The following is a 23,187-nucleotide window of genomic DNA, read 5'->3' on the forward strand; positions in this document are numbered from 1 at the left end:
CATCTCACCTAAGGACAGTGCAAAACTGTGGGCTCTGAGAATACTATATCAAAGCTCTGCTTACGTGGGGATGGAACCCATTTCCTTAAGTACCAGAGTGTGTAGGTAGGGGAGGAAGTGCCCTTACAGGGCCTTTGCAAATGTGGTGGGGGCATTTTTGGTTGTCAAAATATCTGGGAGACCACACTGGCAAGTGTGGGTGGGGCCAGGGATACTAAACAACCTTCACCATGTGGGAAAATCCTACACAATGAAAAGACATCACACCCAAAACGACAATAGCACCACATTGAGTAACACTGGATGCTCTGAGGTAATTTTACACTCTGGCACTACTAATTAATAATCTGAAGAAACAACTTCATTTTTGTACTGTCATCCAGCTGAAGTTGTTAAAATAAATCATCAAAGCTAATTAATTGGGAAGTCTTTTGGCTGGTATCCAATAATTTAAGCAAAAGACTGAGAAACTGAAAACCTTACTTTAAAAATCTCGTTTACTGACTGATCCTCCTCACCAATTTATCTGTAAAATGTAATGCATTAAGAAGACAGATTAAAAAACACCCAAGTATGGGCTTCCTCCTAATTTCACAATGATTATTAATAAGGGAGAGGGGAACCCTTCCTAATAATAAAAAACAGTAGTAGCAATAATAATAATAATGATAATGATAATATACAAAATTCTCTTTTGGTGATCTCATGACACGGCACAAAATACCAAGTATGTGACTCCTAAAATAGGCAATTCTAGCTCTGAGTTCTCTCCTAAGCCGTAGTCTCATAAATCTAACTGCTTTCTGAATATGTCTACCTGGATATACCTCAGATACCCTAAAATTCAAAAATGTTTGCTATATTGTTGAGCTTAATTAAATTTAACATTTTAGGGCTCTCATCTGCTTTCAACGCCCTGGGACCTTCATTATCTTATTTGAGTCTAGGGACAAAGGCAGGGTGGCTGGGTCTGCTTTTGAAGACACTCACAGAGGCCATGTGGTCACTAAGATTCAGAGCTAGGACCTGAACTCACACCCACCACCTCCCAGCCCAGCACATTTTTTTCCCTGGGTTACTTTGCCTCTCTGAGAGTCTGAGACAGTAACTGCTACAGAATTCAACTGTGCAACCCAGGGTGAAGACAAAGCCCATCCTCCAGAGCAGCATCATGCCTTCAGCCCAGGGAGGATAAGTGGACAGCATGGTCTGCCCAGACAAATAGAAAGCCCTGAAAATGAACAGGAAAAGGGAGAAACAGCAGAAGAGCTGGTCAATAGAGCAGCCCTTTAAAATGATTTTACCTTGCAAATTCAATTGCAAAGACAGATGGATGTTTTAGCAAGGCTGGAGAGCAAATTATGAAATCTGTGTTCCCAAGGCAATCGGGTCTGAAAAGCTTCCTTTTAAAAATTCACACTGGATGGAAATTCAAACTCTATGATTGTGTGAAGTGTTCTAGCTAGATTAAGCATAATGCTATCAAAACAAGTGATTCACATATTCTGCTCATTTTTCTGTTAGTATATGGGCTTTTGGTTAGGGCAATTTCAAAAACACTGAAAGGAGCAAAATGGGATTAAAATTGTGAATCCATTTACTGCTTTCAGTTTTTCTTCCGTTTCTGTTTAATTGAGAGGAACTTACATAGGAAATTGGAGGCTCCTGAGGCTGGCTCACTTATGCACATCACAGAGATGCTATTTAAACATGTTTTCCTAGAAAGCTCTTGTAATCCACTTTAAATCTGAAACCCCATTTACCTCTTTATTTGAGCTGTAGACTCACAGGATTACAGAAACCTGTGAAAATCACTTGAACTTGGGCTTCCCAAGACATTTGTTGGTTCACAGTGAACCTCAACCCTACTACATACATCAGGAAGGGTGGGTTCCTTTGCCTAACTATTCTGCCAGACCTTCTTGTCTACATGCTTATCTCCAGCCAACCACTTCTTCCATGCATATGTAAATAAAGAAACCACCCAGTTTTTCTCCCTCTGATCACTTACAGCAACGAGTGAGGACACTAAGGCAGAATATCACTAGTCTCAAGACCTAGAGCAGACAACTTTACTGCTTCTGTGGCTTTCTTTTAGTTTTTGTTGTTGTTGTGCATGCTTTTGAATTATTGAGATTGTATAGCAAATTCAAAATTGAACTAAAATTGAAATTTAAAAAATTTCTGTTATGAAAATACTAAATTAAAAAATGCTTGTGGCAGACAGCAAAGGCTGGTGCACCCAATATTCATTTTCAGCTTCCTCCTCCTCTCCTGCCTGCCTCTGCCTATGGGGCTAGAAAGCCAAGTATTTACCTTCCCAGCCTTTCTTACAGCTAGGGTTAGTCAAGTGACACTACTGTGATCAATTAGACAAAAGCAGAACTTTTTTGGGATTTTAGGGTAAGCGTTTGTTTTTGTTTTGTTTTGTTTATTTTGTTTGAGACAGAGTCTTGCTCTATTATCCAGGCTGGAATACAGTGGCACGATCTTGGCTCACTGCAAACTCCGCCTCCCAGGTTCAAGCGATTCTCCTGCCTCAGCCTCCTGAGTAGCTGGGATTACAGGAGCACGCCACCACGCCCAGCTAATTTTTGTATTTTTAGTAGAGACAGGGTTTTACCCTGTTGGCCAGGCTGTTCTCGAACTCCTGACCTCAAGTGATCCGCCATCCTTGACCTCCCAAAGTGATAGGATTGCAGGTGTGAACCACCGCGCTCAGCCTGCTTTTTTGATAAAGGGATACAGAAGCAGCTCCCTTTTACTTATTCGAATGAGTCATGAGGTTTGAAGCTTCAGCAGCAATGTTGTGACCATGAGGCTTAAGAGGCGAGAATATAAGAAAGGCCAAGAGGACTGCAGAGAAATTGGTTTTATTATCCTTAAACCTCTGAACCAATGTCAGGTGCCTCACAATTATTGTTTTGTGAGAAAAATAAGCCCTTATTTATTTAAACCATTGTAAGCCAGATTTTCTGTTTCTTATAGTCAAAAGATTCAATGTAGAAAATATTTAAAAATACAGAAAAAATCCCTATGTATCTATCTTACCTGATGACTGAAGATAATCATTGTTAACATTTTAGAGTAGTTCTGATAATCTTTATGGGTTTTGCTGTTGTTAGTGGTTTCATTTTGTTTTGATATGGGTTGTTTTGTTTACATTACTGAAATCATATTATATGCACTGATTTCAAAACATAAATATAATAAGACCAGGTTCTTAAAGGCAGATAATAATAAAAAAGACTTTGATGACAACTATTTGCCACTAGGTCTTTGCTTAGATTTAGATCATTCGTTATAGATTTAAGGGATGTATACAATCATTTTCTCAAAGTTTCTAGGTAATAAAAATGATCACTATATTGTTGTCTACAGCTCTCTTTTGTAGAATAAAAATTGTTTTAGTTTAGTAACTCTTCTAATAATATTCTCACCATGTAAAAATACCTAAGCCGTTCTTAGGAAGTCCTGGGACAGAACCACACCAGTTATGGCTTTTGGTTGTATTACACTGGACAAGCGATTTTATTGAAATGGGGTATGAAGGATGTAGACAAAGAAACACATCTTCTGGTACTAACAAAGGAGCCAAAGAAGGGCAGCCAACGGGAAGAGCAGGCCCAAACTTCTCTTGGCAGCAAAAGCCATCTTACAACACATCAGCTCACTGAAATATGGGAGCAAGATGAGAAACGGAAGAACTTCAAGCCCAGTATCAATGCTTCCCATCCTTTCCTTCTCTTTGTTCTTTCCTTCTGTATTCTACTGATTCAGTTTCCCACTGTTTCAGGTTTTTTTTTTTGTTTGTTTGTTTGTTTGTTTTTGAGATGGAGTCTCACTCTCGTGCCCAGGCTGGAGTGCAATGGCACGATCGTGGCTCACTGCAACCTCCGCCTCCCGGGTTCAAGTGATTCTCCTGCCTCAGCCTCCCAAGTAGCTGGGACTACAAGCGCATGCCACCACACCCAGCTAATTTTTGTATTTTTTAGTAGAAATGGGGTTTCACCATGTTGGCCAGGCTGGTCTCAAATCCCTGACCTCAGGTGATCTGCCCGCCTCAGCCTCCCAACATGTTGGGATTATAGGCGTAAGCCACCACACCCAGCCTCCCGCTGTATCAGTTCTTCTCAATTCTACCTTTATTGCACACTTTACATTTTAGGGTCCTTACGATCTTCCTTCTATCATCCATCTTTTTTTATTCAACCCCTTTCTCCCGTATCAACCTGCCTTCTCAATATTTTTACTTCTGACTGGGGGCGGTGGCTTATGCCTGTAATCCTAGCATTTTGGGAGGCCGAGGCGGGTGGATTGCTTGAGCTCAGGAGTTTGAGACCAGCCTGGGCAACATGGTGAAATCCCGTCTCTACTAAAATACAAAAAATTAGCCAGGTGTGGCGGCATGTGCCTGTAGTCCCAGCTACTCGGGAGGCTGAGGCAGGAGAATTGCTTGAACCCGGGAGGCAGAGGTTTCAGTGAGCTGAGATCACACCACTGCACTCCAACCTGGGTGACAGAGCGAGACTCCATCTCCAAAAAAAGAAAAAATATATATTTTTTACTTCTACTTCATGTCTTTTTGTATCCTACTAAGGATGCCAAACTTTTATACATTTTTCCCTTCATTCTTACAGTAAGCAACTTTTAAAGGTCTGCTTGTCTTCTGAGAATCACTGTTGCCTCTCCCTTATTCTGTAGCAATTTTTCACTTATCTCTCTTTGTTGTTGTTGTTGTTGTTGTTGTTGTTGTTTGTTTTTTGTTTTTTTCCTGTTTGACCTCAAAGAAAGCAAGCTGTATCTAGGCCCAATATTTACCCAAAACAAAGTATGTGGCTTGTGCTCCAATGGAGTTTGGCCCCATTCTCCAAGTGGTTGGGTGCTAGCCAAATCCCTGTCTCAGATCTATAGCTAGATGATAGAATGATAATATATATAGTGCTCAGCTCAATTCCCAGTATATAATAATATCCATTCTAATAGCTAAAATTATTGAAACCTATGTGCCAGGCACTATTCTAGGCATTTTACATTTGTTAATTTAATCTCACAAGTGGGTTGTTAAATGCTGTAATTATCCTATTATTTCAGATGAGTCAGAGATGCTACAGAACTTGCCGTAGGTCACACATCTAGAAAGGGCAAGCCCAGGAAGTCTGATTCTATAGTTCAAGCTCTTAACCAGTACACTCAAATAGCATTAAATGACATCTGGGCAATAAACCAAGGCTTCTGTAAGCAAGATACAGGAGAGAAGGTAGGATTTAGGGAGACACTATCTATGTCCAGTGATTTACAAATCATCTCTAGATAGCTCACCTGAGACCTAGTCATGGGTCTCCAGTTGTCTCAGGCTGTCACTTCATGCTCCTAGAACTTGGAGTTGAGGTAGAAGGTAGAGGTAATTTTTTAGGACAAAGTCCTATAGGTTCCCCAATTCAGAAAAGATGTATTCTAAACTGGGCTCACTGTGCCTAACCAGTCTCATTTTCCATGTCTCACCAACATGAACTCTCTATTCCAGCTAGCTTTCTTCTGTGTTCTTCGAGGAATAAACTGAATACATTGCATACCCTAGAAAAATAATAGTGGCGATAATGATGACTGAGTGTTACATATACCTTTCCTCCAAAGAGCTCACCATGCTCTCATGCCTCCCCTTTATCATTACCGTATTACTTGGAGGGATGCAAAGTTACTAATCATTTGTTTTCCAGATGGAGAATTGAAGTACAAAGAAGGGTCACAACCTACCCAACATTAGAGAGCTGGCTACTGTTGGTATGAACCTGTTTCTTAGCTTAGCTCCTTAGGATCAGGTTCTCTGAGCCCTCCAGAGTGAAAAATACCTCGATTTATTAATCTCTGTTGGCTTGGACTTAATTTTCTAAAAATGCCTTTATCATTCTTTCAACAAACATTTACTGTAGTACTACAGGCGGCATCAGGGATAAAAGATGATGAACACGGCTTCCTGCTCACAACCTCAAGGCAGACCCAATCACAACTCAGGGTAGTAACTGTAGAAATGGAGGCCCAAACACAATATGCAACACCCCCAGCCATCAGCTCACTGTAATTACCACCAATGCTGCCAAAGGCAAAAGAACAAAGAATGGTTTTACATCTTGAACTTTGGAAACACAAAACAGTACAGATCAATACTGTGTAGGCTAACAACAAAAGGATTCATATTTCCTTTATGATGTGCTTCTTATAGGCAGTAGTTCATAAAGATCTGCTTGAAAAAGAATTATCACCAATCATTAATAAGACAAGCCAACTGGCTGAACAGTGATTTTTTAAAATCATTAATAAAATTTATTCAGCATAGAAATATGTTCATAAGTAATTCAGTAAAGCTTCATCTGTTAAATAAAAAAAATGTTGCATAGCTCATTACAAAAAACTGGGTAAGAGACAAAAGAATGAGTTTTCTCTTATGAGGCATCTGCATAAAGTAGGTGAAAAAAATACTACTCTGGGGGCTTAGAAACTGCACATACCCATCTACAATCCTTAGAGGATCTGGAAAAAATGGAAATTAGAAAGCGGCAAAGTCACTGTATTCTCTATTACTGAAAGACACTGTACCCCTGAGGCAAAAAACAACATATGAAACGAGAGGATGTTTTGGTCCTAGAGAGGATTGGAGAGGACTAAAAGAGAATGAATTTGGCTCTGTGCTCCAAATAGATATGAAATAATTTACTGCAGCATTACATGGTTTCTCCATTGACAAGAGTCCCTCTCCTTAATATAATAAAATAATCGAACCACAGAATTGTTTAATTACTGGGCTGGACCCTGGATATGTCATTCAGATTGATCAAAATCATCACAAACGTAACTATGGCTGGGGTTGGCCACGGAGAACTACGAGTTTCCAGTGTTTTATAATCCAGTGTTGAGTGGCAATTTCACAATCTCACGGTATTTGAGGTTAATCCACACTCTTCATTCTTCCAATCCTGCTCTCTACAATGGTTCACTTAAATACAGAGTGACTCTAGTCTAAGTAGTTGTAAAGACTGTACTTCCACAGAAATGTCAGTTCTCAAGGTCTGCTGGACTGAATACCCACTCTCTAATCCCCACTATGTTGATTTAGATGGAAAAAGGAGTTCTGTGCCTTATTCTTCTAGTGGGAAAGGCAGTCATTATACAAATATAGGGTCAGCAAAGTAACTGAAGTGATCTCCTAGTTCTGTGTTTTCTGAAACTTTCTCCACAGAGCAGCTGTGTCTCATAAGATGTTAATACTGCAGATGTCCTGAGAAGTATGTGTCTTCCATGGTCAAGTGAGTATGAAACACTGGATTAAACAAAGTTAATACACGACTTCTCAGAGCCCTTCATATACTAATATGCAGAATGAATTTCCTGGAGAGGAATCTAGAATTCCAAATTATTTGATTGCAGGGATATGACAGCCTTATCCACATGTCCTGGAAGAAGAGTTCTATAGAACACAATTTGTGATTTAGCTTGCTCATGCTGGCCTCGAACTCCTGGGGTCAAGCAATCCTCCTGCCTCAGCCTCCTGAGTAGCTGGGACTCCAGGCCACTGTGCTAGGCTCCAAATTTTAAAAATATCTTAATAAATTAAAGCAAAACACTTATTGTTTAGATTGATTCTTAAAAGGTTTGACATAACTATAACCATTGCAAAGTCAGGCCCTGTTAAAAATATTTGGTACAGACAGAAAGAATCAGGCCCTACTAAAAATATCTAGTACAGACAAGACTGGGCCTTGGAGATACAAGTAGCTTTTCTGTACACTAGGCTAGAAAAAGGCTGTCATGAACTGGAATCTTAAGTCATTTTGCTAAAACTTTGATATATGAGAACATTTATAACTAAGGGTCACTAAGAAGTGTAAGGCATGATTTCACTGGGTGCAGGGATAAAGCCTGGGGAACACAGCATTACACTTACTCCAGTGTAATGGTAGCAACAACCAACCAACCTCCCCTAATCCTTGCTCCCCTCAACAATAAGGAAGTTGTGCTTTCCTCAGTGCTTCTCTAGATAATACTGTCCAATAACATAGCTGAGCACTTGAAATGTGGCTAGTCCAAACTGAGATATGCAGTAATGTAAAACAGACACAGGATTTCCAAGACTTCGTATGAGAAAAGGAATGTAAAATGTCATTAATTTTCATATTGATTACATGGTGAAATAATATTTTTATATACTGGGTTAATAAAATATATTATTAAAATTATTTCATCCTTTTTTAACTTTTAAAATGCAGCCACTAGAAAAATTTAAATTACGTATGTGCCTCACATTTTCTTTCCATAGGCTGTCACCTAGGCTGGAGTGCAGTGATGTGATTATGGCCCACTGAAGCCTCAATCTCCAAGACTCAAGTGATCCTCCTGCCTCAGCCCCTCTCCAAGTAGCTGGGACTACAGGTTCAAATCACCATGCCTGGCTAATTTTTTTTTTTTTTTTTGGGGGTGGGATTTCATTATATTGCCCAGACTGGTCTCAAACTCATGGGCTTAAGTGATCCTCCTGCCTCAGGCTTCCAAAGTATTGGAACTACAGGTATGAACCACTGTACCTAGACACCTTCTTCATTTCTAGATACCTGTAACTTAGCTCAGAGTCTGGCTCACATCAAAGCCTCTGTAAGTCTGTGTTGAACTAACTTAAATTTCAAGCGTTGGCTGTTCAGGGCTAGACCCTCTTTCCTGTTAGAAAGTACAGTAGGCTGGGCACAGTGGCTCACGCCTATAATCCCAGCACTTTGGGAAGCTGAGGCAGGAAAATTGCTTGAACCCAGGAGGCAGAAGTTGCAGTGAGCCGAGATTGCGCCATTACACTCCAGCCTGGGCAACAGAGCAAGACTCCGTCTCAAAAAAACAAAAAAAAAAGTACAGTAAAGAGAAAAGAACATGGGCTATTTTGAATTATTTTGAGTTGAATCACAGTTCTAGCAAACTGCTTAATTTCTGTGAACCTCAGTTTGCTCACCTAAGAAACACGGTAAGGTAAGGATTAAATGAATAAGTAAAGCACACAGCCAATTCCTGTCAGCAAATTATGGAGCAGGATAGAACTTTGGTATCTCCTTATTTTTTTATTTTTGTTTTTGAGACAGGGTTTTGTTCTGTCACCCAGGCTGGAGTACAGTGGCTCAATCTCGGTTCAATGCAACCACTGCCTCCCAGGCTCAAGTGATCCTCCTAACCTCAGTCTCCCCAGTGGCTGGGACCACAAGCACATACCACCATGCCCGGCTAATTTTTATATTTTTTGGTAAATATGGGGTTTCACCATGTTGCCCAGGCTTGTCTCAAACTACTGGGCTCAAGCAATCTGCCCATCTCAGCCTCCCAAAGTACTGAGATTACAGGTGTGAGCCACTACACCTGCCCTGGAATTTATTTTACACAATTTATCTAACACTGAGACTCACTTGCAGACCTAAACACGAGATTTTAAGTAAGTCGTACCTGACAATGAGAGCTAGATTGTGTAAGAAGTAAGACAACTGAGGAAATCATCATGTTCAGAGAACTGTGCTCATAAAGATTGCAAAAGATGCCTAACTGCCTTGGACATTTAGCCAGATCTAGACAGCCATATTCAATCTCTCTCTCCCTGAACATGATGTGATTGTTCCATGTAACAAGTACCCAAATGCTTTAGGTACTTACGCCACTACTCCCAATGACAGCAATCTCAAAGTTTACCCATATAATAAGTGAAGGGAGGCAGATGAACTGTTCCCGATGGAAATCCCATTAACAGGGGCAAACTAAAGGTTAGCCAGTCCATAAACCAGAAATTCTCAACCTTGGGGTAGACACTGGGATTGCTGAGAAAGATTTTTAAAATCCCAATGTCAGATCTAGATCCCAGACCAATTAAATCCGAATCTCTGAGAGTGGGCATCAGTGTTTTGTAATGCTCCCCAGGTAACGCCAAAATGCAGCCACAGCTGAAATCCACCTTTGTAATCCCTTTCTCATTCCAAGATGTTCTCAAACACTTGCAAAGAGCAGGAGCTTGGCGGTCAAGGATTTAATCTGGCTCTGGCATTTCCTGGCTGTGTGATCTTAAGCAAGTTACTTACCCTCTTGAACTTCATTCTCCTCAACTGTAAAGTGGAGCTAGTATTACCTCCCTCACGAGGTGTGGTAAGGATGAGGTGAATACTTAGGTAGAGTGCCTGGCGCACAGTGTAGACTTAAAGAGCAGTAGTTGCTACCATTATCATTATTCTCTTCACCTCAGGGGAAATGATTCCTGCATGTGGTAAGGTTGATGTCACTTTTTCCTATGTTTGCACTACATTGGCGGGGGAGATGATGCACGTAAAAGTATTTTGTAGACAGAGGCTCCTCTGAACTTAATGTGAGTAAGAATCACAGGGGACCTTGTTAACATACAGTGGCTGATTTCCTAGGTCTAAGGTGAGGCCAAGGGAGAGTCTGAATTTCTAACAAACTCCCAGGAGATGAGATGCTGTTGATCCATGGGCCACACTTTGAGTACCAAGACTGTAGGTGGTAAAGCTCTTTACAGAAGTAAAGCACTACTATTATTTCCTTAACATGGTTTTGGGAAATACCACCATATTACCTATTTTGTTTAATCTTCTGTTTATGAGACTTTATAGCAAGCTTAAAACCTACAAAAGAACCACCTAAATCAGATATCCTATATGGAAAATTCAAAGTTTAAGCAGATTCCTTTTACATTATAGTCTTTCCTTTCTCTTTTTTTTGCCATTAGTCAACATTTGACTCAATTTAATGAACACATACCTAAATCACAAGTGTGGAAAACACACTTGTCTTCCCCCACTCCCCAAATTAAAGATATTGCTCCCTTTGCTCCCAAGGAAAAGCAGAAGATTCATTACAGTCTCTCGGGAGCTTGAGGCTTCTTCCACCACTTTATAACAATAAACTGCCACTTTGATGCTTCAGAAACTTCCTAGTTGTATCTTCATAATGATATGGTGTTTCTCAATAATGTCAATAATTTTGTTTTAGCATAAAATTATTAGCATAATCCTGTGAGTACCCTATCAGAATGATAGTGACATTTTGTTTTATACATATGTATCTAGCTTTACATATAAATATGTCTTCAAGAAATTGGGCATGAAACACTTCTGGGTGAATGCAGATGCAGAAAGAATGCAGATGCAGAAAGATAGCTGGCTATTTAAGGTTTTCTATGAAAGATAATTTTGAAAACCAGCCTTGAAAGTCTTTTGGAAAATCTGGAGATTCCTTTTGCTGCATGAGTGGACTGGATCACCTCAATTGTTGATCACTTCTATAAGGTTCCTTTCAGTCCTGTGGGTTCTGTTTTCTGGGTTTTTTGTTTGTTTTTGTTTTTTACTTTTTACTCTGGTGACAACTTTATCTGTCACCAGAGAAGAGCAGACAGGATAAAAATTAGTTTAGATACTTTTTTCCCAAACTACAATATATAATTCTAAAACATATATAGCTTCTGCCTGAGGAGCCAAACGTCATTTCTGTCAATTACTCAGAATATACTCAATTATCCCTTTTATCAAGCCCTTCTGTCATGAGGTGATTCTGACTAACAATGGCAATAGCCAGGGTAGCCAGCAAATACTGGTGATGCCTACTATGGAAGCATGTATCTCAGTGCTAGGTGGTGGAGATGTTCAGGCAAGGACGGTGAATTTAGAAATCCAATAAGGCCTTTTTTATTTGAAAGGTTTATCTATTAATTTAGTATTATGTTGAAAGGCTTGGTTCTGTTTCTAAATTAAAAACACATTTTTTTTTCTCTAAGGTACATGCTGTTGGCTGAAGATCAGTCCCCTATTTAATTTTGTGAGATACAGAGATGTTGCTTGACTTGAGATGGGATGTCCCAATGAATCCATCATAAATTGAAAATATTTTAAATCAAAATGGTCATTTTGTAGACAATGATGGGCTATGAAAAACAAAATACAATATCCAGAAATCACTGGCAACACACTTCTGTACACCGTAGCATGCTGGTTGTTTACCATCATGATCTCACAGCTGACTGGGGGCTGTGGCTCACTGTTGCTGCCCAGCATCTCAAGAGCATATCATACCACTTATCACTAGCCTCGGAAAAAAATCAAAATTTGAACAATGGTTTTTACTGAATGTATCACTTTTGAACCACTGTAAAGTCGAAAAATCTAAGTCAAGTCATCCTAAGTCAGGGACTGTCTGTATATGTACTAACTCTGTGACCTTGGGTATATTATTTGCCCTGTCAAAGTGTCAGTTTCTTCATCTGTAAAATGGTGGTAATACGTATTAGAAAGGGTTGTTTTATGGATTAAGTGAGATCCAGATTCAGGGTTTAGCACAGCTCCTGGAATGGAATCAGGCTCAACAAATGGCTACTATTATAATTTTTATTATTAATATATAGCCTGAATATTCAATTGTTTTAATGATTATTTTCTTCTGCCCTTGAACTAATCCCTAAAACAGCACTGGAGAGGACACCACTCATTATTCAAAAGATTCAAAAAATTCAATTTCAGAAATTTAAGGCCATTATGCCAAGTAAGCCACAGGCAAACCATTGGTGTTGTGATACCTTGTTGACCACAATTCCCAACAGTTATACTCTAAGAAAAAAGAAAAATGCTCAGCTATCTGCAATAAAAAGAGAGACAAGGAAGGAATGAGAAGATACAAGACAATGAACTACAAAAGTTGAGATCTTGGAGTCTAATACGTGAATTGCTATAGATACATATACTTGAAGGTGTCCTGTTGGAGGCCATTATGCATTATCAGATTTGTAGCTTCATAAAGTTACACATTTTAATAAGACAAATCTTTTGATATGGAAAGACTGAATGGAGAGACACATTTATCACCAGTCATCCAGCAGTCTGAATATACTTCAATTAGCACAATTCTCAGCCTGGTGACTTCAACAGGACGCTGATTATGGTACAGCAATATACTAAGCCAGGAGAAATGCGTTCTCTTCTTGGCTCAGTATAAATCTGTTGTGTGATCTCATGTTAGTCAAAAAGCCTCCCAAAACATTACTTTTTTCATCAGTAAAGTAAGAGTTAGACTGAATATTTTTCAAAAAACCCTTTCCAGTTCCAACATTCCATGGTTCTAAGATTCCTTTAACTCTAGCTTATACCAATGTTCTGATTTTCTAACACGACTCTGACAATATCAGGAAGTACCCCACTGAGAGCTTTATTCAGATCATTGGCTAACTGTACTAAAGGGCAGAGGCTACCTCAAATCCTTCAGCAAATACGACTGTACCAAGTAGTGTAGTGAAACCACTTACACAGCAGGTGCTACAATAACATTATTTCCTTCAATGCCATTTTGTTAATGAGTAAAAATAATTGGCTGCTTCAAACATTGTTTCTCTAAAAGTCACAGTTTCCAAGAACCCTATAGACAATGTTAAATAAGGACTTACTATATATGAGATAATATAAATATATGAGACATTTGTAATGGCCGGGCATGGTGGCTCACACCTGTAATCCCACCACTTTGGGAGGCGGAGGTGGGCAGATCATTTGAGGTCAGGAGTTTGAGACCACCTGGCCAACATGGTGAAACCCCGTCTCTACAAAAAATACCAAAATTAGCCAGGTGTGATGGCGCATGCCTGTAATTCCAGCTACTCAGGAGGCTGAGGCAGGAGAATCGCTTGAAACCAGAAGTTGGAGGTTGCCGTGAGGTGAGATCGTGCCATTGCACTCCAGCCTGGGTGACAGAGTGAATGTGACTCTGTCTCAAAAATAAATAAATAGGGAGTTCCAAGATGGCCAAATAGGATCAGCTCAGGTCTACACCTCCCAGCGTGAGCAACACAGAAGATGGGTGATTTCTGCATTTCCAACTGAGGTACCAGGTTCATCTCACTGGGGCTTGTTGGACAGTGGGTGCAGCCCACCGGGCGTGAGCTGAAGAAGGGTGAGGCATCACCTCACTCAGGAAGTGCAAGGGGTCAGGGAATTCCCTTTCCTAGCCAAGGGAAGCTGAGACAGACGGCACCTGGAAAATCGGGCCACTCCCACCCTAATACTGAACTTTTCCAACTGTCTTAGCAAACGGCACACCAGGAGATTATAACCCGCGCATGGCTCAGAGGGTCCCAAGCCCACAGAGCCTCCCTCATTGCTAGCACAGCAGTCTGAGATCAAACTGCAAGGCAGCAGCATGGCTAGGGGAGGGGCGCCCACCAATGCTGAGGCTTGAGTAGGTAAACAAAGTGGCTGGGAAGCTTGAACTGGGTGGAGCCCACCATAGCTCAAGGAGGCCTGCCTGCCTCTGTAGACTCCACCTCTGGGGGCAGGGCATAGCCAAACAAAAGGCAGCAGAAACCTCTGCAGACTTAAATGTCCCTGTCTGACAGCTTTGAAGAGAGTAGTGGTTCTCCCAGCACGCAGCTTGAGATCTGAGAGCGGACAGACTGCCTCCTGAAGTGGGTCCCTGACCCCTGAATAGCCTAACTGGGAGGCACCCCCTAGTAGGCGCAGACTAACACCTCACGCGGCCAGGTACCCCTCTGAGACGAAGCTTCCAGAGGAACGATCAGGCAGCAACATTTGCTGTTCAGCAATATTCACTGCTCTGCAGCCTCCGCTGCTGATATCCAGGCAAACAGGGTCTGGAGTGGACTCCAGCAAACTCCAACAGACCTGCAGCTAAGGGTCCTGAGTGTTACAAGGAAAACTAACAAACAGAAAGGACATCCACACCAAAATCCCATCTGTACGTCACCATCATCAAAGAGCAAAGGTAGATAAAACCACAAAGATGGGGAAAAAACAGAGCAGAAAAGCTGAAAGTTCTAAAAATCAGAGCGCCACTCCCCCTCCAAAGGAATGCAGCTCCTCGCCAGCAATGGAACACAGCTGGACGGAGAATGACTTTGATGAGTTGAGAGAAGAAGGCGTCAGACAATCAAACTTCTCCGAACTAAAGGAGGAAGTTCGAACCCATCACAAAGAAGCTAAAAAGTTGAAAAAAGATTAGACGAATGGCTAACTAGAATAACCAGTGTAGAGAAGTCCTGATGGAGCTGAAAACCATGGCATGAGAACTACATGATGAATGCACAAGCTTCAGTAGCCGATTCGATCAAGTGGAAGAAAGGGTATCAGTGATTGAAGATCAAATGAATGAAATGAAGCGAGAAGAGAAGTTTAGAGAAAAAAGAGTAAAAAGAAATGAACGAAGCCTCTAAGAAATATAGGACTACGTGAAAAGACCAAATCTACGTCTGACTGGTGTACCTGAAAGTGACGAGGAGAATGGAACCAAGTTGGAAAACACTCTGCAGGATATTATCCAGGAGAACTGGATAATTTTAGTTCTAAACTTTCCATCTGGTTTTTCTTTATATCTTCTACATCTTTGCTGAGACTATATTTCTGTGTGGAAGTTGTCCATTTTTTCCATTTGTTTCAAGCTTATTCATAATTGCTCACTCATGCATTCTTATAATGTTTACTTTAAAATCTTTGTCAGATCTTTTGAGCATCGGTATCATCTCAGTGTCAGTATCCATTGGCTGTCTTTTCTCATTAAATCTAAGATCTTCCTAGTTCTTGGTATGATGAGTGATTTTCTATTGAAACCTAGGTATTTTTGATATTATGCTATGAGATTTTGGATCTTACTTGAATGTTGTGTTTTATCAGGTCTCCTCTGACACCACTCTGTTGAGTGAAGTGAGGTAGGGGTGGGGGACTGCCATCCTGTTACTACCTTGGGGTGGAAGTCAGGTTCTCTACTTGGCCTCTGTTGAGGGAACTCAACACCAGTGAGCTCACCACTACGTCATTCTTTGGGTTCTCTTTTATGGGTAAGAAAATGCTTATTTATATTATAATAGGATTATTTACAAAATATGCACAATAACTTATTAAATCCATTAATGAATTAAATTTCAAAAATTTTACCCTCTAAATGACTTACACATAGCTTTGAATAGGCAGAGTTGTTGAGGAGTAAAACGCCAGAGCTAGGAGGAGTTTTAGAAGGCAAGTAAAGGAGAAATCCCAGGAAGGCTGTGTGGCAGACAGGAGAAGGAGTTCAAATAAGTCAAGTAAGAGGACAGGTCAACTGACTTGACATTTAGAAAATCACTGATGACTTTAGCAAAAATAAATTTAAAAGAATAGTGGTGGGGGGAAAGTCAGATTTCAGACAGTGGAGAAGTAAATAGAAGTTGAGGAAGTAGAACTTTGTAAAAGAGTACCTAAGAGAAGCAGGAAGAACATGTGAAGCCAAGTTGGAAAGTGAAGGGGAGAAAACACAGGGAATTCACATCTGATGTTTTCTCTTACCACTGTAATTGTTTATTATATTAGGGTCATTTCAAAGGAAAGATCAAGAAATCTTAGAAACACAGTAGATATATGAAATTAATACAAAAATATCCAAAATTAATTACCCTTATAACTATATCTTCCTAAGACTGATTTGAATGTACATATTATAAAGCAGTGCTCCTCAAACTACACTGATGAAGGGTCAGTTCTGGGGTTTTTTGTTTTTCACAATCAATTGCAGAATAATACTATTGTAAAACACAATAAAATATCACAGCAATGACCAGTTGCTATAAAAGTTTCAAAATGCTTACTATTTTTTGATAAAATAAAATTTCTAAGCAATGACTAGTTGCTATTAAAGTTTCAAAATGCTTACGTTTTGTTTTTTGGTATGGGGTCTCCCTCTGTTGCTCAGGCTAGAGTTCAGTGGTGTGATCATAGCTCATTCTAGCCTGGAACTCCCAGACTGAAGCAATCCTCCCACCTCAGCCTCTCAAGTAGTTGAAAATACAGGCATGCACCACCACACCCAGCTAATTTTTAAAATTTTTCTGTAGAGATGAGGTCTCATTATGTTGCCTAGGCTGGTCTCAAACTCCTGGCCTCAAGCGATCCTCCTGCCTCAGCCTCCCAAGGTGCTGGGATTATAGATGTAAGCCATAGCACCCAGCCCAAAATGCTTATTTTTGATTCTGCACTTCTCTCCTCATGGACAGGTAATATATAGTTCATGAATTGGCACTGGCCTACACTTGGAGCAGTCCTCTTCTCTAAAGCTGAACTCAAGTTGTCCAGACCTTAAATTCAAAATCTAACTTCTCAAATAAGCTCTAGATGTCCAGGGAAATGTCTAACATGAGAGCATTCCACTTCTGTGTCCCTGCTTGAATTAGTCAGGGAAGGAGAGGTTATGGTGTCACAAAGAGTGCTCCAGTCTCAAAGGTTTACATGTTTAATTCTTGTTCACTTTGCATGCCCAAGGTGATTCAATACAAGGCTCTGTTCTGTATACCCACTACTTTAGTGGCCATGGCAGGTACACAGAGACTGGAGAACTGCACACATGCTTTCCATGGCCTCACATTTTATCAGCCAGAAGTAGTAATATGTCTTTGCCGAGGAAGCTGGAAAACTTGGGAGTACCGCTTAAATCATAAGCAACACAGAGGATGGACTGCTGAGGTTCCACTGGAAAACAAGTATAAAACTACTTTTCTCCTCACTCCTCCAGGGCGCTGAATTAAGGGGCATGGAAAGACACATGTGACTCTTAACCAGTATTCTCATGGCTGTTGCTGGCTGTTAGCCTCAAACTGACTGGCCACTAGCATCTAAATGCTAGCTGCATTTGCTGGAGTCTTGTATAAGTTCTTTGGAGCCCCTATGGAGAGACCTATCCATGGCACAATTCCCTGATGTGAGAACTCTCAGATCCCACCTGCAGAGTTACATTCCACAGTCTCATGCTGCTGAGGCTTCCTCATCCTGAGGCAGCGCTCTTGAGAAATGTTCTAGGGAGTTGTCTCAAGCTAACTTCTATACTGATTCACAGGAAATTCATGCATCCACAACTGTCCAAAGAGTGCCAGTTCTCTTTACTGACCTCTCTCTCTCTGCCTTTCCTCTCTCGCTTCTCAGAAGCGTACAGGTAGCAGACCAGCAAGTTAACTACATAATCACATCTCTCAGTAGAACGTGACTACCATTCCTGCAAGAACCTTAAACAAACACTGTGAGTAGTTCTCTTGGAGGGCCCTCTTGGTTTGGAGGGAGAATATCCCATTCTGTTCTCCACAGGAGCTTGAGCATCCTTACAACATGGTGGATGAATTCTGCCTGCATGAATAATCCAACAGGAAAAGTGCCAAGCAGAAGCTGTGTCCTTGTTATGACCTTGCCTCAGAAGTCATATAATATGACTTCTGCCGCATTCTACTGGTTAGAAAATAGTCACTATGGGCCAGGCACGGTGGCTCACACCTGTAATCCCAGCACTTTGGGAGGCCAAGGCAGGTGGATCACCTGAGCTCAGGAGTTCAAGACCAGCCTAGCCAAAATGGGGAAACCCTGTCTCTACTAAAAATACAAAAATCAGCAGAGCATAGTGGTGGGCACCTGTAATCCCAGCTACCCGGCAGGCTGAGGCAGGAGAGGCACTTGAGCCCGGGAGGCAGAGGTTGCAGTGAGCCGAGATCGCGCCACTGCACTCCAGCCTGGGTGACAAGAGCGAAACTCCGTTGTTGTTTTTTTTTAAAAAAAAGGAATATAGCCACTATGTCTGGCCCACATTCAAGGGAAGGAGAATTAGGCTCTACTTTTTGAAGGGAGATGTGTCAAGGAATTTGTGGACGTATTTTAAAACCATCATGCTCCTTAAACACTTTCTAACAAGTTTAATTCATTCTGTGGAATGAACTACAGTATCAATCAGCCAGAGTCTGAAGCAAACAAATATCTGACACAGAAATCATTATAATTTTGAGATACTGTCGAAAGCTGTTAGAACTCTTTATTTTTATGAATGCTTAATAATGGGTAAAGGGATGCACTGCTAGACTCTTGGGAAATGAGATCCAAAAATTTTCAAATGCTCCAATAAATCTCTTTCTGTCACATATTTTAAAAAACACTAAGCAAATGTTTACAAGTATTTGCACAAGGGAAGCTTTAATGACTAATAAAATAAGAGTTAAAAGTGTAATATTCCTTATCTTTTCTTCTACCCAGTATCACCATCAAGATGCCTATTCTGGCAGAAGCCCATTCCTCCATCTGCATGGATGATCAGAACAGAAAACAATCCGGGAATATGTTGCTGTTTAGAATTGTAAGTATACTGATTTGGTCAGTACAGCCCTGGCTTTAATAGTTTGGAAAAATCCTGAGGCTTATCAAGGCCAAACAACTTGTCCATAGAAAACCCCACAGGCAGTACGTGAGAGACCCTGTGCCCCTCTGACTCCACAGCCAGAGTCCTTTATCCCTAGGCAGCGTTTCCTCTCCAAAACACCAAACATTAACTCAATGTGTAGGAAAGATCTGAGGTGGCTTCTATTCCATTAAAAGGAAATCAATATTGTTGAACTGAACTCAGATACGAACAAAGAATCGAGGACAGTTCAAGTGAATAGAGAATAACAATGACCACTAGTTCTCAAAATACAGATACTTAAAAAGACAAATATAAGCATGAATCACAAGGCTCCAAATTTTCCTGTCTGTTAACTATTAGGATTGTATCTTGATTTCTGAGGTGGGGGGATTTTTATCCTGATTTTGGGGGTTGGGGAGAGATGGGGTGGAGTTGAAGCGATTGAAGGAGATGGAGTATAAACATGCTACCAAAACAAACACATTTAATGATGCCTTCTGTGGATCATGCATTGTGCTGGAGGACACAATCCTGAGTCTCGAAAGGCCTAGTACCAGGCCTTCAGAAGAAATTCACAGCCTGGATGTGAGGAGAGGCATGTAGGGAAATAAGAATAATGCATTATAATACATGAAACAACAGAAAACAAAACACAGTTTGTAAGAAAGTAGCAACTGCTTCCAAGACCTGGTGAGCTCCATTTCTGTGGTACATTCATGAATTAAAATGACATTGGTAAGGAGGATAAATCCACAGTAACAAGGATAGGATGGCCTTAATCATTGTTCTTATTATTTTGATTAAGGGCATTTTAATCAAGACTGCTTTTAGGAACCATGAGCACTAGGATGAACAATTTAAAAATATCAAACTGTCAAAATGTAAAGGGCTTTCCATTGCAGCAGGGAAAATAAGGAGAGTAAACTTGATACCAGGAAGGAAAATACTGCAAGGAAGGAAATGCTTTTGCCCCAGCATTAGAAACATCAGGTTTCTACAGTACTTGGTCACAAACCAGCTGTGATTTAAATCCCTTAGCTTCTCTGAGCTGAAGTTCCTTTTTTTTTTTTTTCCTAAACATTAAGGGGACTGGAGTATACAATCCCCACAGCGCCTCTCCAGCTCCAAAATTTGTAATCCTAATGATGTTCCAAGGAAAATCTCTTTCCCCTCTGAAGTGCCATCTCTCTCTGCACAGCTCCCTTTAGCTTCAGGGCCTGAGTCAAATCTCCTCTCTATAGGCTAAATTCATACACATGACTGGGTTCACAACACCAACTATAGTCACCCACATAATTTCTGTAGAAAGATCTGCCATGTGTCAGCAGCTCCCATGATGAGGAGGGTTGTCTTTCCCAGCAAGGTGGCCAAGGTAAAACACTTGCTTATGGGCTCAGGTCTGGGTGTAGTCCTGGCTGCCTGGGTGATCTTGGATGTGTGAGTTCCTCCCCCATAAGGTTGAGAGGGTCTGCTCTGACTCTCTGCAGGGTTGTTGTGAGGACAAACCGAAGTGATTCATAAAGCACTGTACAAATTCAGAGTATCACAGTGATGACTGAACACTCTGGATTCAGGAAATCCTTCAGCTGGAAGTCTTGCTAGGACAGAGGTATGTGCTGTATTGCTCCCTGAGAGGAAACCTGATGTAAAACAAACTCAGCCTCAAGGCTGATGTGCCTCTGAATCTCCCCTCAGAGCAGCTAACGGCTCTAGAACTAATAAGGTCCCAGTGGACTTTTTCTTTAAAGAAGCTTTTAATGTTACCAGGAACTGACAGCAACGCTGTCCACATCAATCCCACTCAGACCCCAGCCTCTGGAAGACATGACCTTAGAAACTCTGCAGAACTTTTCTGTCACGTTCCACCTATGTCAACATTCATGCCACCCACTGTCCCATGTCGAGTTCTAAGAAGTTAAGATCTGTACCTGTTAAAATGGACTTCTAGATTTCCAAAAAAGAGTTTCATGGGACTGTGGGCATTTCACATAGTTAGGCTATCCACGGGCCTGGCCTTTCCAGAAATGGTCAACTTCATGTAATCTTCTTATCCATAAAGGCAAAGATTAATTAAATGTGTAACTAAATATAATTAATTTTTATAACTCTCTTACATATTTATTTAAATAAACCCATAAATCAGAAATGACGTTTTTTTTCCTCAGACTGATCTTCTTGAGACTTGATTTTTTTACTTGGAAAATATAGTTACTGTAAATACTATAAACTCTGGTTAACCAGCATGTTCAGAGAATATAAAGCTGTAGTAACCTTTAAATGCAAAGGAAGAGGAGGAGGAGGAGGAGGAGGAGGAAGAAAAGGAAGAGGAGGAGGAAGAGTGATAATTAATATCAAATACATTAATACAAGCAGGTTTTATTAACTGTACTTTTAACAGATGATGAAACACATTCAGAGAGACCCAACAGCAAGTAAATTACAATGCCAGAATTAGAACCCAAATTTGGCTCACTCAGAGGCGCTCAATCTCTGCTTCATTCAGGTCTCTGCTCAAACATTACCTCCTTACAGAGGCCTTCCTTGACCACACGATTGAAAATGTCCCAGCTGTCAGCCTGGCTCCCTCCTTCCCTGCCATCAACTTGCTGTCTTTTTCAGTCCCCTTACCTGGCTTTAGTTTCCTTCATAGTACTTAGCTGTATGTTTGTTTAAAAACATGTCTCCTGTTTGATAGAATGCAAGTTAAGCAGGGATTTTAAATTATTCACTGCTTTATCTCTAATGCCTAGAATAGTGTCTGAGACATAATTGGTACTAAATGAACAAACGAATAAAAGACCCTAAAATGCATGCATTTTTCATTACGTCTCACTGAAAGGGAACAGTAAGAAAGCGGATACATATATACACTGCATTATGTCATAATTCTTTCATGATCTGGGTGGTATGATTATAGAATAAAGGTTCAAATTGATTGTGGAGATCACTCATTAATATTTCTACTAAGGGAAAAGAGTAGCTGTCTCCTAGAAACTGAAGGAACCCTTTACAACTGTAGCAGTGTGCTCTTTTTCACACTCACAATCTCTCCTTCCTATCAACTCTGACATAAGAATACACAGGACTCTTTTCACGACAAGTCCAAGAATTTGGTTAGATTATTTTTGCCATATAAAGGACCATTTAATACCAAAACAAACCTCCCACATCAAACAGTTAATTCCACAACCACGAAACCTCTTCTGACTCACCAAGAAAAGCCACATCAACACAGGCACAAGGGATTCATTTATTACACCAAAAGAGTCTCTTCAGTACTTCTTAAGTAACTATAATTTTTGGTCATTTAAATAATTTTGCATTTAATGTAGGCTCTACTTCCAGATTTTTCTGAAACTGATGGAAGACATACCTAATAAAAATGCATTTCAAGAAAAAGAAACAGATTATGAACATCTCGTTTCATCTGGGTTTATGTGAGACTTAACATTCACTATTCTTACTAGACATTCTCCCTGGGAAGGTAAAACTTTTTTAAAAAGTAATGCCTCCAAGGTACATCGTGAAGGCAGACATCTGCTTTATTCAGGCAAAGTAAGTGCCCAGTAAGTGTTGGCTCACCAGATCATGTATGTCTTTCACATAGCAAATATTCCGAGTTCTAAGTCACAAATCGAATACTCAACAATTCCGCCTAGAATAGAGGAGTAACCATGTCTGTGGGAGGGGGAAGGGTTGGGAAGAGATCTGTTCTTCTTCCTGATACCCATGAGCAGAATACTGTCACACAGACCTATTTTGTGTTTTTATAATTACCCAAATTCTCTTCTTTTGTCAGAATTCATTCTCAGTAACAGCTTGAGCAATGTAGCAATCGTGCTCTGAAATGACTTGTAAACCACAGACACAAATATTTGGGCCAAGAATGTGGAATCCATTGCTGTCACATTCCATTATTTCTGGTGGAGCAATTCACTAACATTTTGGAATCTAGATCATAAATTATGCAGAGCCTCAGCAAAA

At 40.5% G+C, this 23,187-nt stretch overlaps 1 protein-coding gene across 11 annotated transcripts in view, besides 1 other annotated feature; it reads right to left on the reverse strand.

Annotated features, from left to right (window-relative positions):
- The window catches only part of TTC28 (tetratricopeptide repeat domain 28), a 701,827-nt gene that overhangs the window by 141,430 nt on the left and 537,210 nt on the right, over positions 1–23,187 (reverse strand). The gene's annotated exons all lie outside the window — the stretch shown is intronic.
- Positions 17,476–18,231: an enhancer, noted in NCBI's record as "OCT4-NANOG-H3K4me1 hESC enhancer chr22:28532907-28533662 (GRCh37/hg19 assembly coordinates)". NCBI's record gives its function as "activates a minimal SCP1, AML or CMV promoter by ChIP-STARR-seq in naive H9 embryonic stem cells {active_cell/tissue: H9 hESC(naive)}" and the evidence as "EXISTENCE:reporter gene assay evidence [ECO:0000049][PMID:30033119]".

This window comes from Homo sapiens, chromosome 22 (genome assembly GCF_000001405.40).
Source record: "Homo sapiens chromosome 22, GRCh38.p14 Primary Assembly".
NCBI lineage: Eukaryota > Metazoa > Chordata > Mammalia > Primates > Hominidae > Homo > Homo sapiens.